Here is a 14754-nt window from a genome sequence, read left to right as displayed (position 1 = left end):
ATATATACAAAGGAGTTAGTAGTGATTTTTATTCCTTAACTGGTGGTTGAATAAGTGAGTGTTAAATTTTTTGCTTTCTTCACCTATATTTTTAACTTTTTTCTACAATGAACATATATTACATTGTAATAAGAAAAAGTTAATTTGTAAGTTGTATTTCTGATGCTTATATTGAATTACAAGACACAGTTTTTTTTCTACCTTGCAATAAATTATTAGGATGAAGAATAAATTTGGTTAGGAAACTAGACAATTATTTCAAGGTTTGTTCCAGCTCCCGAGGCTTTATGAGGTTACCATCAAATTTGGTCAGCAAAATAGATGGCAAACCATGACACAGCACAAATCATATTCTTTAGGACTCTTAAAATTGTATCAGAAACCACTAAAACTAGCTTAGCAGCATTTCTTGTAAGAATACAGACAGGGCTGATAGCCGGTTGCACTTGCTTGGGGATACTGGTTGTTTACATTGTAAAATACCTCTGTTCCTATTACTCTGACACCCCCAAATGCCTCCTGTCTGCCTCAGCCACTTGGGGATTTCTCAGGCTCTCTGTACTTCATGGCAAAAGAGGGAACGTGTGGAATGGCAGTGGACTTCTAGAACCATGTACCAGGTGTCTGGCCCTGTCTGTTCTAATTTTCTCCCCCAGTTTCATATTAACTATTTTGAATATCACCCTCAGAATGCATGGGTATCTCATGGAATCCAAGGGCAAAGATTTAGCTGGGCCTCCTGAAGGGACTAGACCCAGACTCTCGGGGGCTGTCAGGCTTCTCCTTATTTCTCATCTCTGTGCGTCTGCTCCATCCTCTCTTATTGCCTTTTCTGCCTTGAAGTTCACATGACAGAAATATGACCTACAGCTCTCAGAATTGTCATTTGACAGGTCTGGCCGTTTGGAAAGAGAATGATCTTCTTCTTCCCTCCCTCCCTTCCTATTTCAAATGTCCAGGGAAGAAACTGAATGCCAGTCATGTGCCCACTCCTGTACCAAACCTCTATGACCCTATGGGAAGAGGGGATCACATTGCCCAACCATGGCTTTTCCAATTATAATCATATGAATAGAGGGGGTGAACAATTCCAGATAAAATGAGGGAGCTTTTCCAGAAATTATGGAGTGGAGCACAAATATAATCATGTCCTTGCCTAGCACGTAGCTATCTCTCAACCTTCCTTTAATTGGGGCTTCTTTATCCAACAATCTTAACACTCCATGAAAGAGTCTCTGAATAGCCATATATCAAAGCTTATAATTTTGCATATAGAATTGTATATAGAAAAGTACCTAGCACAAAAGTTTTAAACTCTTATTTTACACAACTTGCTTATTAGGCTCTATGTCCAAGGCAAATCAGAAGTAGAATTAAAGAGGAGTGGTAAGAAAGGCAGGCTTGCTGAGCCTGGATGGCATATGAGTGTGAGTGGGTGTGTGATTGAGTGTGTGTGTGTGTGAGAGAGTGTGTGTGTGGGTGAGTGCGTATGCGACTGTGTGTGTGTATGCGAGTGTGTGTGTATGCGAGTGTGTGTGAGTGTGTGAGTGTGTGTGTGTGAGTGTGTATGCGTGTGTGTGTCTGTGAGCGCTCATGCGTGCACATCTTCAGTCATGTGCCCACTCCTGTACCAAACATTTATGGTCCTATGTGGGAGCAGATCATATTTCCCAATTACGGCTTTTTCCATTATGACCACATGGATGAAGTGGGTATATAGTTTCATACACACAAACACACACACACCACACACACACCCTGATACATAAATTCAGGAATAATGATTCAGCAATGCAAAAGGCAAAAATCGTATCTGAGGCCATTTTTCCATACCAATAATTAGAAATTTAAATAATCTATGAAGTAATAAAGTAAGTTAGCATATAATTATTGATATTTATTTTAATAACTAGAACCCTCCATTTTAAAAGTGAAATTATGTTGAATATATCCTGTTTAAGAAGGCAGAGAAAATTTTAATGCATTGATGAAAGAGAGTAATGGTAAATGTAGAAATACAGGGATACTTGATATCTAAGCTTTAGCTAGCTGGAAAGTTATTGAAAAAACTTGATAAGCTTTTGCTAGCTGGAAAATTATTATTCAGCAATGCTAGATCTTAGACAGGTCTTTGCGAATTTCTCCTCCATAAAATGGGACTGATAATTATACCCAATCGCCAGGGTAGAGAAGCTCACTATGTGTGAAAATCCTTTGAGATCTTTGAAGAAGTCAAGATGTTTTAAAGTATTAGTGATATTAAAATCTATTTTGGTTTTTGCAAGAACGATTGCACTGGAAACAAATTTACTTTTAATGAAAGAAACATGAGGGGAAATGAATTATTCTGCCTGGGTCTTTTTGAGTCCATTTCAAAGCACCACTTACTTAGGTCAGACCTTTTTATTGGTCACTTGTCTATAGTTTCTATTAATTATTTCATAGTTTAGCAATTTGCAACTCTAGATTGTCCATCTTTTAGGAAGTTGGATTGATGGCTTTATTTCATAAACTACAATTGTTAAAATCATGTTTTCTCCTACCTCTATCATGATTATCAAATAATGTAAAAATGTTGCACAAAATTCAAACTATAGAGAAAATAGTCACTCATAATCCCATTTGCTTCACTATTATAATTTTCCATATAATGTATATTTTTATGAAATTTCAGTCATAGCTATGTTCAATATTATAGTCTCCTTTTTCCATTTTGCTACTTGTTATTCTTGTTAATCAGAATTGTCCCCTTTAAATGTGCATACAATTCTATTGAGTGAATGTGCTAAAATAATGGAATAATCATTTCACTATTTTCAGATATTTAGATTCCTTTCTTTTTTTTTTATTACAATAAAAAGTACACCCTTTCCCTTCTTCCCAAATTGTGTAGTCTGGGTAATCTCTAAATTCTAAGTGCCCACCATGCCCATAGCCTGCCTCTGGGGAAAGAAGCCAAGTCTTTCTTCATAGTCATTATGCTCTATGCATGTGACTCTGCCATTCCTATGACTACTACTGAGCCAGGGGGTCTGTGCCTGGGCCAAAGGGCAGCCATGTCCATGAGAAAGGCCCATGCAGAGGCTCTACAAGAGACTGCCCAATAGCAGGGCACCATATTAGATGGTATCAAATGGATCCAGTTTCCTCCTCTCTCTCAGTGAGAATAAATGTGAGATACACAGAGCAGTCAGGATGCTCTGCATACCCTTTTGGAGACAGAAAAAGATGACCAGGACACCAAAGCTGTTGGCTCACCAGAGCTGCTACTACATTCTGAATAACAATGGACCATGTCTCTAGTTTGGCACAAACACTGTGTCCTTGCCAGTGGTAGAGGGCTGGGACTCAGGGTCATAGTCCAGCTTCTGAGACTACTGTCCATGCCCATTTTCTTCCCCGTGGAAGTAAGCCACCATCCCCTAATATAATTATTTTCTTTTCTCCTCTTAGATGACTTCCTTGGAATGAATTACCCAAAACAGGATAAAGGAGTATAAATATTTTTATGGTTCAGATATATATTATCAAATTACCTGGTAATGTTTCTAGAGATTTTCCTCTGGATCTTCTGCTCCACTTATTTTATGCTCTTTCAATCATCTCACCCTTCTCTACAGCTACAACGACCATCAAGTTTGAGACACCATTCAATTGTAAAATGCACCATTATTTTATGAATGACAGAAGAAAATGTGTTGTTAATTAGGTTGATATAATGCTTTATCACTTAAAATGTTTATTTCATAAGTATTGAAAAAGTTCTTTTAGACTTTTGTGCATATAAAAAATGAAATACAAGCAAAATACTATATATCTGACATTTTTCAGAATCTAACTTCTCAGAGTTACATTTTAACTCAAACTATCTTTATCCTTATTTTTCCATCACAGTATTGTGTCTTATTCCATCTAAAGTATTGATAAATCAGCATTACTTAAAAGAATTCTCAGCTGGGTGTGGGGCTCACACCTGTAATCTCAACACTTTGGGAGGCCGAGGTGGGAGGATCACTTGAGCCCAGGAGTTCAAGACCAAGCCTGAGCAATATAGCAAGACCTTGTTTTTACAAGAAACAAAAAAATAAAAATTATCCGGGTGTGGTGGTGTGCACCTGCAGTCCCAGTTCCTTGGGAGGCTGAGGTTGGAGGATCCCTTGAGCCTAGGAGTCAAGGTTGCAGTGAGCTATGATCTTGCCACTGCACTCTAGGCTGGGCAACAGAGCAAGACCTCTACTAATGTCCCAAAGAGTTTCTTCCAAGTCATTGACACCCACTCTGAAAGTTTTGATGTTGGCTCTTGTTTGATCATTCTAAAACTTACTGATAGAAAGTCTTCAGACAATACCCAGGAGTCATGTGCTTTCTTGAATAGTGCTTAAGTGTTTTGTTGACTGAAATGTCCAAAGTGTTACATTTGTCCAGTCCAGTCACTTGGACATACACAGCTGTGTGTTTGTTGCCTGTAATGATTGTAATCCTTATCAGTTGCAAGACACATTCTGATTTCAGAGATGTTAAAATGCAATACATATATATATAATATAATATATATGTATTGCATTATATATCATATATATATTGCATTTTAACATCTCTGAAATCAGAATGTTTCTTGCAATATATAGATATAGATAAAGATATAGATAGACAGATAGCATGTGCCAATGATTCCAAAATCTGTAATTCTATTCCAGACTGCTATGTAAACTGTCCTCCAGATCTCTATTTGGGCAACGCCCACATACCTCAAACAGCTTCTTATTGCTGTTGGAAACATTTCCAGAAATGTAGTGGCTTAAAACAATGCAAATGTATTGTCTGAAAGTTTTGGAGGTTAGGAGTCCAATATAGGTTTCACTAGGCTAAAATCAAGGGATCAGCAGGGTTACATTCCTCCTGGAAGCTCTAGGGTAGAATCCATTTTCTTGTCTCTTCCAGCTTGTAGGGGCTGTCTGCACTGGCTTGTGACTTCTTCCATCTTCAAAGCCAGCAATGGCCTCTCTTTCTTCCATCACATGACTCTGAATCTTACTCTCCTGCCTCCTATTTCACTTAGGATGTAAGTGGTTACATTGCGCCTACCTGGACAGTCCAGGATAATCTCCTTATCTCAAAATTCTTAATGTAATCATGTCTGCAGAGTCCCTTTTTACTGTAAGGAACATATTCACAAGTTCTAGGAATTAGGATGTGAATAACTTTGGGAGGGGTTCATTATTCTGCCTACCACAATGTCCAAAACTAAATTCCTGATATTCCTCCCTGTTCAAATTTGCTGTTTCTCCAGTCTTTCCTATCTCAAAGATTTAAACCACAATCCATCAATTGCCCACACAAGAAGCCTGGACATCATCCTAGCAACCTCCCTCTTACACATTTCCCACATACAATTAATCATTAAAGTCTGTCATTTTGTTTTTCCTCCTAGAAAGCAAATAAGTCTACTTAGCTCTCCTTACGCGGTCATTGCTCTGGGCTAGACCCTCATCATTGTCTCTTATCTATTTTACTGCTACCAGTCTACCTGCTACTGGAAGAGATACAGCTCAAAACATACTGGTGTGAAATTTATGATCGGGGGTTTATGTTTTTAATACCTACTCAGTAGCATATGCAACTGGGGAGGAGATACACATACAGTACAATACCAAAGGCTTGCATTTGCATAGCATATTATGAAACATCTTTACATTCTTACCACAGTTAATCAGCTCCATAGCCAGGTGAACCAGGTACTATCATCCTACTTAGTGAGGTTAGACAACTTAGACTCAGGTGATTTTTGTTTTTAGAGACAAGTCTCATTCTGTTGCAGGCTGGAGTGCAATGGTGTAATCATAGCTCACTGCAGCCTTGAACTGCAGACTCAGGTTTTGAAAAAAGGTCTCATTACCTCCTCAAATTAGTCTCCTTCGGCATTACCTCCTTACAGTGCTCATTGTCATTTCAAATTCCACACGTTCAGAGACAGATCTTCTATAACTTCCTGGTCCGGTCATCAATCTCCTCCCCACCCGCTTCACCCACCTTCAAATTTACTGTTGATTTGCTCTATCCCTATCCTCACATCTAGCCAGACACCAAGACTGGTTGAATTTTCTTTTGACCTCCTAGTTCTTGCCGCTGTCCCCACAGTCCCCTGCATAGCCAAAATGTCCTGTTTTATCTCACTGCTAGGTCAGTTCAGCTGCCTTTCCCGCATCTTGCTTCATCCTATGTATCACTGCCCAAAATAGAGTGTGAAAACCACTTTTATATCATCACTCCCTAGGTCAAAATCCTTTAGTGGCTCCTTATTTTCCATTACATTAACCTCGAGCCTCTCTGTGTGGCTTTAAAGCCCCTCCATAATTTGAGCCCTTCCTATGAAGTTTACATAATTCCCACAGTTTCCCAGCCTCGTGCTCTGGGTGGGCTGGCTGCCCCACTGACCATCACTCTGGTTATTCCTTCCAGGGCTTTGTCCCTGTAGATGCCTCACTGGGAATGCTTACCATCTCACATCTGCCTTTCCAAACCTTGTTCTCCTTTCACCTGGTTCAATACTGTCATCCCTGAATCCTTCAACCAGTCCTTAGGGTTCCTATTCCTCTCTGAAATTACAGAGCACGGTTAGGGCCTTGTAATAAAATGCTCACATTGTAAGTGTTGTTTCATGCACCTTAGTCCTGTCTCCTCCAACTAAACCACAACCAACTTGAGAGCAAAGCTCAGGTTTTCTGTTTTCTTCTTACTATAAGTAAATAATAAGTTCTTCTTGACCGATTTCTTGAATTATTCCCAAATCATGTTTCTTTCTGCATTGGTATATATTATGGCAAGTTTGTATATACAGATTTAAAAGGCAAATGCAGCCAGGGGCAGTGGTGCACACCTGTAATCCTAGAATCTTGGGAGGCCAAGGCAGGTGGATCACTTGAGGTCAGGAGTTTGAGACCAGCCGGGCCAACATAGTGAAACCCCATCTCTACTAAAAATACAAAAATTATCTGGGTATGGTGGAACATGCATGTAATCCCAGCTACTCAGGTGGCTGAGGCATGAGGATCACTTGAACCCAGGAGGAGGAGGTTGCAACAGAGTGAGACTCTGTCTCAAATTAAATAAATAAATAAGGCAAATGCAAGCATACTCTCTTAAAGATAAGCTATTTTCTTTCAGTGAATGGAAGTGTTTGACAGAGAAACACCTTTGGAAGCAAACATTGAGATGTTACTGCAACATGTTCTATTTGCACTGGTGCTTATTATGCCAAGTTTACATTTAAAAAAACAAAGACTCAACTCTGGTTTGGGAGTAATTTACTGGTTCAATTACATTTAATTATTTCAAACTACTAAAATATTGAGGTCTGCTTGACAATTCAGAGATTTATATTGATTGACGGATAGCTGGTAACTGAAAACCCCAGTTGAAAACCCCAGTTTTTGAAGAGATACAGTATAAATAACTAATATAAACAAAACACAACCATTATGATAGTCAATTCGCACACCATTTAATGAAGACTTCTTTGTGAATCAAGTGCTAGATGAGACTGCAAATTTGGAGAAGATGGAAGAAAATGGAAGAGGGCCTGACCCACACCCTCAAAGTCAGGGAACTTGGTAAGTTTAGGGAGGATGGTGTGCCCAACACAGTCAAAGGATCAAACAAAGATAACAGACACAAAAGGAAATCAATCATACGAGGACAGAGTGAAAGTAAAATCTTTTGATGAAAAAATGGATGTTTGAATGTCATGAAGATACTGTAAAAAAAAAAATGGAGGAAAGAAAGCAAATGAATGGTTAGTTCACAAGCTGGCTAATTGCTGGTCTGAAGATAGTAGTCACGGCACTGTTTTGCAAACATAACAGCATCATCAGAACCAACGTGAAAGTAGGCAGTTCTGCAACCAGAGTTCCTGTGTACAAGAGCAACTAAGAAGCCCTTCCCATCAAGATTCCTCTCTGCAAACACATTCCAACACTTTATCAATTTGCTAGTTTGGCAACTCAGTGTTACAATCTGGTCAGATAAGAGATTTTCAGATCTTACAGTGAGAGGAAGAGACACATTTCCTATCCACACAGTGACACTGCCTTTCCACCCCCTGAAAACATGCTCTCTCTCTCTCTTTCTCTCTCTCTCTCTCTCACACACACACACACACACACACACACTACAACGTGTCTAAGTCATTAGCTGTTTGTGCCCTAAATGTGGAACAAGGAATTCCCCAGATGATTTTTAAATTCCAGGGCAATTACTACGTACAGTTTCAAGAGCCAGAAGGAAGAATCAATCTGCCAAGCAACGATTAGGGATGGAATTGCTTGTGCTTCAAAGTATATGCTGGATTAACTTCTAAAGTAGTTAATTACTTTCCAGATCATGCTGTGGTGTCACGTGGCCTAAAGAGAAAACTGCAGCCATCCAGACCTAAGGAGGTGGAAGTAAGGGAAGGTCACGATTTCTATCTTTTAGGCTGTGTCTGATGGGACTGGCTTAAAAGCAAAAGAATCAAAAAGCATTTTTTGTTTTAGCCAAAGCAATATTAAGTAACAGGGTTTTTAAATCTTTAAATATATTAAGTTGTTTAAATGAATCCACTGATGGTTGTTTTAAACATTATAAACTTGTAACCTAAACTGAAGCTGCTTATCAAAGATGCAGTAGCTACATTTTCTTTGCTGAACTACATTCAGATCCAAAGCACTTTTACAATGAATTCAATTTTCCTGGTGGAAAGTAGCAGAATACAGAACCCCCAAAATTCCTTCAGCTCTGAACTACCTAATAGGAGATAAAGGAAATATTGATCTAAATGAAAAGGTTGGCAACAGGGATGAGGTACAGGGCACACATACTGTTTTTCTGTCTTTCCAGGCCCAAGACAATCACCACTTATTTATCATGGCACTATTAACTCCCATCAAGCTTGGTCCTGGCTTCAGAAACCTCAACACAGTGCTTTGGGTGGCTACTACCTGAAAATGCAACTTATTTGCAACCTCTGATCTAGAAGGAATATAAACTCAGAAAAAGATAGTCTAGAAGTACACACTCATCCTCAGAGTTTGTCAATATCTGCCACAACTAGAGAAAATAACCCATGAGATATTTGGTTCATTGACACTACTAATGGTTTCAGTCTTGAGACACTTATCAAGATATTAAAGTTAAAGGGACCAAAGTCATCTTGTTCTATGCCCTCATTTTATAGATCAGGAAACTGCATCAGACTTATGTACATTATCAAAGCTTAGAACGTAGGCTTCCTGGTCTTCCTGCTCCGATGTTCGTCCATGCTGACCCTCTTCTGCTCTACTTATCATATGCTAGGCTCAACGAATCTTTATCATCTTGATTATATCATCTGTGTTCCTACATATAGACGTATGGAGTACTGTATGAAATGTTACTACATGAAAATGATTCACTAGTAAACTAGGACCTTTATCAATATGTAAAATTCAAGTCACAACCTCAAAGGTTAACTTAATGTTCAAAAAATACAAGATGTAGCTGTCTAGAGATTTTTGAATAAAGTAAAATTTAGCATCTGCCTCTAAGAATAAATGCAAGTTTAATAGAGAGGGAAAGAAATTGAACTGGATTTCACAATGAATAATACCAGTTTATACAGATGCAAAATATAGCAGAGATGATTAAATTATCTGTGACAGTTTTCTAGAATTTCAGCATTTCCTATGCTCACTAAACTTTCTAACTGAAAAGGAAGAATCACTAGTGCTTTCTAAGGATTCAAAAAATAATATTTAAAGTTCTTTTCAGGACCCATAGACGGGGCAGAGTACAGACCTCTTCTTTTCAACCTTACCTTTCACTACGGGAATTATCCTAGCCTTGCCATTCATTTTACTTCTTCTCTTGTCACCAGGCCATGTAAATTTTTTCCTCTTTATGCTTAAAGCAAAAATAGTAACACCAACCATCTGTCACATAAATTAGAGATGTATTACCTTAAACCAATAGTTCTCGACCTTGGCTACGCATTAAAATCATCTGCTTTCAACACTGTCAAACCCAGGTCAATAGAATCAGAATTGCTGGTGCTGGAACTCAGGGATTGCTTGTTTTTAAAACTCCACAGGTGTTTCCAATATGCAGGTAATTTTTCAACCACTGCCTTTAACCAAAAGGATGAAATGTTACTACAAGAGCATCATAGATCAGATGACGGTAAGGCCACAGGGGTAGTTCAAAGATCATCAGAACCACTCCGAACATTGTCTTTACTGTTCCTGCTGCACATCACAGTAAATTTAGCATCCTCCTCTGGAGTATAACCAAGAGAAGAAATCAGAAGCAGTCCCAGGCTGAGATAGATGGCTAGATCTCAGTGATGTTCGGGAGCTAAATAGTACTAGCTTACAAGAGGTGATTGTGTACATTTCTTTCCGACTTTATGTTCAGTGACATGATACTGCTGGCTGGAAATTGACCAATGGCAGGAGTATTTACACTGTAGAAATTGGCAAACACTACAAATCAGGGCTGGTTTTCCCCTAGACAGCCAGTTGTTAAACATTCATTGGCACATTACTGGATGGATCCCTAGACCCTGACCCTGGTTGAACCTGAGAGAGGAAAATGTAAAATCACTCCTGGCTCATTAGCAAGTCTGAACTTAAGATACTATTGCTCCTCTAATTATTGGCAAATAAGGAGGGGGAATAAAGCCAAATAGCAAAAAACCAAAAAACAAAACAAAACAAAAACAAGAAAACAATAGAAGTTTGTTGATGATATTATGATCCTGGTGGTATTACAGGTAAGCAGGAGAAGACAATATGAATTTAATATGGACTGATACATCCCCCTTGTCACTTTGCCTAGGCACCTGCCCATTATTTTGGTGGGTGGGGGGCATGTAGAGAACCAACAAAAAGGAAAGGTGGATGTGTTATTATAGTAGTAAAGTTATAGAGTCTGTTCTAATATACAGACTCCAAGATTGAGTGGTTTATGTAATAAAGAAGTTTATAACTGTCATGGAAATTTCCAGAGATAAATGGTACGAGGCTGATATGGGAGCATCCATCACTGACTACCAGGTTGCTACTCCCAGCTCCTGTCTTCACATCTGCATACCAACCAGTAAGAAGAGGAGAAGGAGCAAGGAGAGCACATAACTTTCCTTTTAAGGACACAACTAGGTATGACTCACATCTCTTCCATTCATACCCCGTTGACCAGACTTTATTCTTGTGGCTGACCCAACTGTAAAGGATGTTGGGAAATGTAGTCTTCATGGGGCGATGTGCCCGGCTAAGCTTTAGAAAATGTATTACGAAAATGAGAAGGTGAGGATGAGTACTGATGGAACTGGAAGACTGCCACACCATCTTACTAATTTAGATGCAAGCTTGTGTGTCGATATTGCTAGGGGTGGAGACTTCACAGTCTGATACTTTAAAACATTTTTCAGTCTACAGTAGTTTCTCAGGGTTTGTGGGTCCTGGGTTTCCAGGAGCTTCCTATGTTAGTAGAAAACAACCTTTTCTGGAAATCCCTATATATTCATTGGAAATAGTTTTGAGAGTTTAATTCAATATACACCTGAAAATATCACGTGTTAAACATAGAATTTGGTCACAGGCCTTGTAATATATTACTAAATATATCTTTGGCCCAAGTAATGTTTTCACAGACCATTTTATTAGTACTTCACTGGATATTTTTATAAGAACAGAATACAAAACTTTAGGCCATAAACATATGCTACTTATAAATAAATAGGAGTTAATATAATTTCTAGTCATTGTATACATAGTCATCACATTAATGTTTCTTAAAAATCACTTTTGTCAGGCTGGGCGCAGTGGCTCACGCCTGTAATCCCAGAACTTTGGGAGGCCGAGGCAGGTGGATCACCTGAGGTCAGGAGTTTGAGACCAGCCTGACCAACATGGTGAAACCCCATCTCTACCAAAAATACAAAAATTAGCCGGGCGTGGTGGGGCACACATGTAATTCCAGCTACTTGGGAGGCTGAGGCAGGAGAATCGCTTGAACCTGGGAGGCAGAGGTGGCAGTGAGCCAAGGTTGTGCCATTGCACTCCAGCCTGGGCAACAAGAGTGAAACTCTGCCTCAAAAAAAAAAAAAAAAAAAAAAAAAAAAATTCACTTTTGTCATAGCATTGTCCTGCTCAAAAACCTTAGTACCTATTATTTGAAGTTAAAATGCTTTTGCTTGGCATTGTGGGGCTTCTTGTGCCTGTGCTGGAGGTCTAACCAAGCATCACATGCAGCAGAAAACAAGGCTGACCAGGAACCCAGGAGTCTTGGATTCTAGTTCTCATCCTGCCACTGTCCAGATGGGGGACATTGGACTCCCACACACTCTGAGTAGAGCTGGCCCTGAAGCTAAGGTTCCAGACAGACCGGCTAAGAAAGGAGACTAAGGAAGGCTCCTTAGAGTAGTTGTGGAAAGCAGCTCCTCTGATGACTCTCAGTGGTCCCCATGTCCTGGTGTTCACCCTCTGGTCTTGCATAATCCCCTCACCTTGAGTATGAGCTGCACGTAGTGACTGGCTCCTAACAAATAAAATACAGCAAAAGTGATGGGATGTCGCCTCTGAGATTAGGTTACAAAAGACTGGGCTTTTTGCTCACATTCTCTCTTTCTGTCCCTTCTTGCTTTCTCTCTGATGAGGCAAGATGCCATGTTGTGAGCTGCTCTGTGGAGGGGGACCTGTGGCGAGGAACTGAGGGCAGCCAGCAGGCAACAGCCAGCTGCCATGTTGTGAGTAGCCCTATGGAGGGGCCCACATGGCAAGGAACTGACATCTTTGGTCAACAGTCAGTGAGGACTTAAGGCTGCCAATAGCCACATGAGGGAGCTTGGAAGCAGATCTTCCCCCAGTGGAGCCTTGAGATGACTGCAGTCTGGCTGACACCTTGATTGTTGCCTTCTGGGAGACCTTGAGGTGGGGGACCCAGCTAAGCTGCCCAGCTTCCTGACCGGCAGAAACTGGGAGACAATAAATGTTGGTGTTTTAAGCCACTACATTTTGGGATAATTTGTTACACAGCAATAGATAACTAGTACAGAAGTGCTAAAGATCAAACACCCCTCTCCCTCTCTCTCCACGGTCTCCCTCTGATGCCGAGCCGAGGCTGGACTGTACTGCTGCCATCTCGGCTCACTGCAACCTCCCTGTCTGATTCTCCTGCCTCAGCCTGCCGAGTGCCTGGGATTGCAGGTGCGCACCGCCACGCGTGACTTGTTTTCGTATTTTTTTGGTGGAGACGGGGTTTCGCTGTGTTGGCCGGGCTGGTCTCCAGCTCCTAACCGCGAGTGATCTGCCAGCCTCGGCCTCCCGAGGTGCCAGAATTGCAGACGGAGTCTCGCTCACTCAGTGCTCAATGTTGCCCAGGCTGGAGTGCAGTGGCGGGATCTCGGCTCACTACAACCTCCACCTCCCAGCCGCCTGCCTTGGCCTCCCAGAGTGCAGAGATTGCAGCCTCTGCCCGGCCGCCACCCCGTCTGGGAAGTGAGGAGCGTCTATGCCTGGCCGCCCATCGTCTGAGATGTGGGGAGCGCCTCTGCTCCGCCGCCCCGTCTGGGATGTGAGGAGTGCCTCTGCCCGGCCGCGACCCCATCTGGGAGGTGAGGAGCGTCTCTGCCCAGCCGCCCCGTCTGAGAAGTGAGGAGCCCCTCCGCCCGGCAGCCGCCCCGTCCGGGAGGGAGGTGGGGGGCAGCCCCCACCCGGCCAGCTGCCCCATCCAGGAGGGAGGTGGGGGGCAGCCCCCGCCCGGCCAGCTGCCCCGTCTGGGAGGTCGGGGGGCGCCTCTGCCTGGCCGCCCCATCTGGGAAGTGAAGAGCCCCTCTGCCCGGCCGCCACCCCGTCTGGGAGGTGTACCCAACAGCTCATTGAGAACGGGCCATGATGACGATGGCGGTTTTGTCGAGTGGAAAAGGGGGAAATGTGGGGAAAAGATAGAGAAATCAGATTGTTGCTGTGTCTGTGTAGAAAGAGGTAGACATGGGAGACTCCATTTTGTTCTGTACTAAGAAAAATTCTTCTGCCTTGGGATGCTGTTAATCTATAACCTTACCCCCAACCCGGTGCTCTCTGAAACATGTGCTGTGTCCACTCAGGGTAAAATGGATTAAGGGCGGCGCAAGATGTGCTTTGTTAAACAGATGCTTGAAGGCAGCATGCTCGTTAAGAGTCATCACCACTCCCTAATCTCAAGTACCCAGGGACACAAACACTGCAGAAGGCCGCAGGGTCCTCTGCCTAGGAAAACCAGAGACCCTTGTTCACTTGTTTATCTGCTGACCTTCCCTCCACTATTGTCCTATGACCCTGCCAAATCCCCCTCTCCGGGAAACACCCAAGAATGATCAATAAATACTAAAAAAAAAAAAAATAATAAAAATAAAATAAATATTGAAATTATTAAAAAAAAAAGATCAAACACCATCTGAAAAAGAAGGGACCTTAAGGAAAATATTATTTAGAAGTTAAAGCTATTAAAGCTGAGAAGGTGACTTCTGAACTGAGTTTAATTTTGAAAGTCACATGTACAATAAAAAAAATTTAAAGTTTAAATAAATGATGCCCAGACATGGAATCAACCCAAATGCTTATCAATGGTAGACTAAATAAAGAGAATGTGGTACATATACACCAGGAAATACTATGCAGCCATAAAAAGGAATGAGATCATGTCCTTTGCAGGGACATTGATGGAGCTGGAGCCATTATTCTCAGCAAACTAACGCAGGAACAG

At 41.2% G+C, this 14754-nt stretch overlaps 1 long non-coding RNA gene across 1 annotated transcript in view; it reads left to right on the top strand.

Annotated features, from left to right (window-relative positions):
• The window catches only part of LOC102724945 (uncharacterized), a 244858-nt gene that overhangs the window by 205549 nt on the left and 24555 nt on the right, over window positions 1-14754 (top strand). The window contains exons 6-7 of the long non-coding RNA XR_001750942.2: window positions 11018-11168; window positions 12673-13624. This is a non-coding gene — a long non-coding RNA (uncharacterized LOC102724945). The remainder of the gene's footprint in view (window positions 1-11017; window positions 11169-12672; window positions 13625-14754) is intronic.

Source organism: Homo sapiens, chromosome 14 (assembly GCF_000001405.40).
Source record: "Homo sapiens chromosome 14, GRCh38.p14 Primary Assembly".
Classification (NCBI taxonomy): domain Eukaryota; kingdom Metazoa; phylum Chordata; class Mammalia; order Primates; family Hominidae; genus Homo; species Homo sapiens.
Note: the sequence above shows the minus strand (reverse complement) of the source record. Positions and strands in the feature narration are given on the sequence as shown.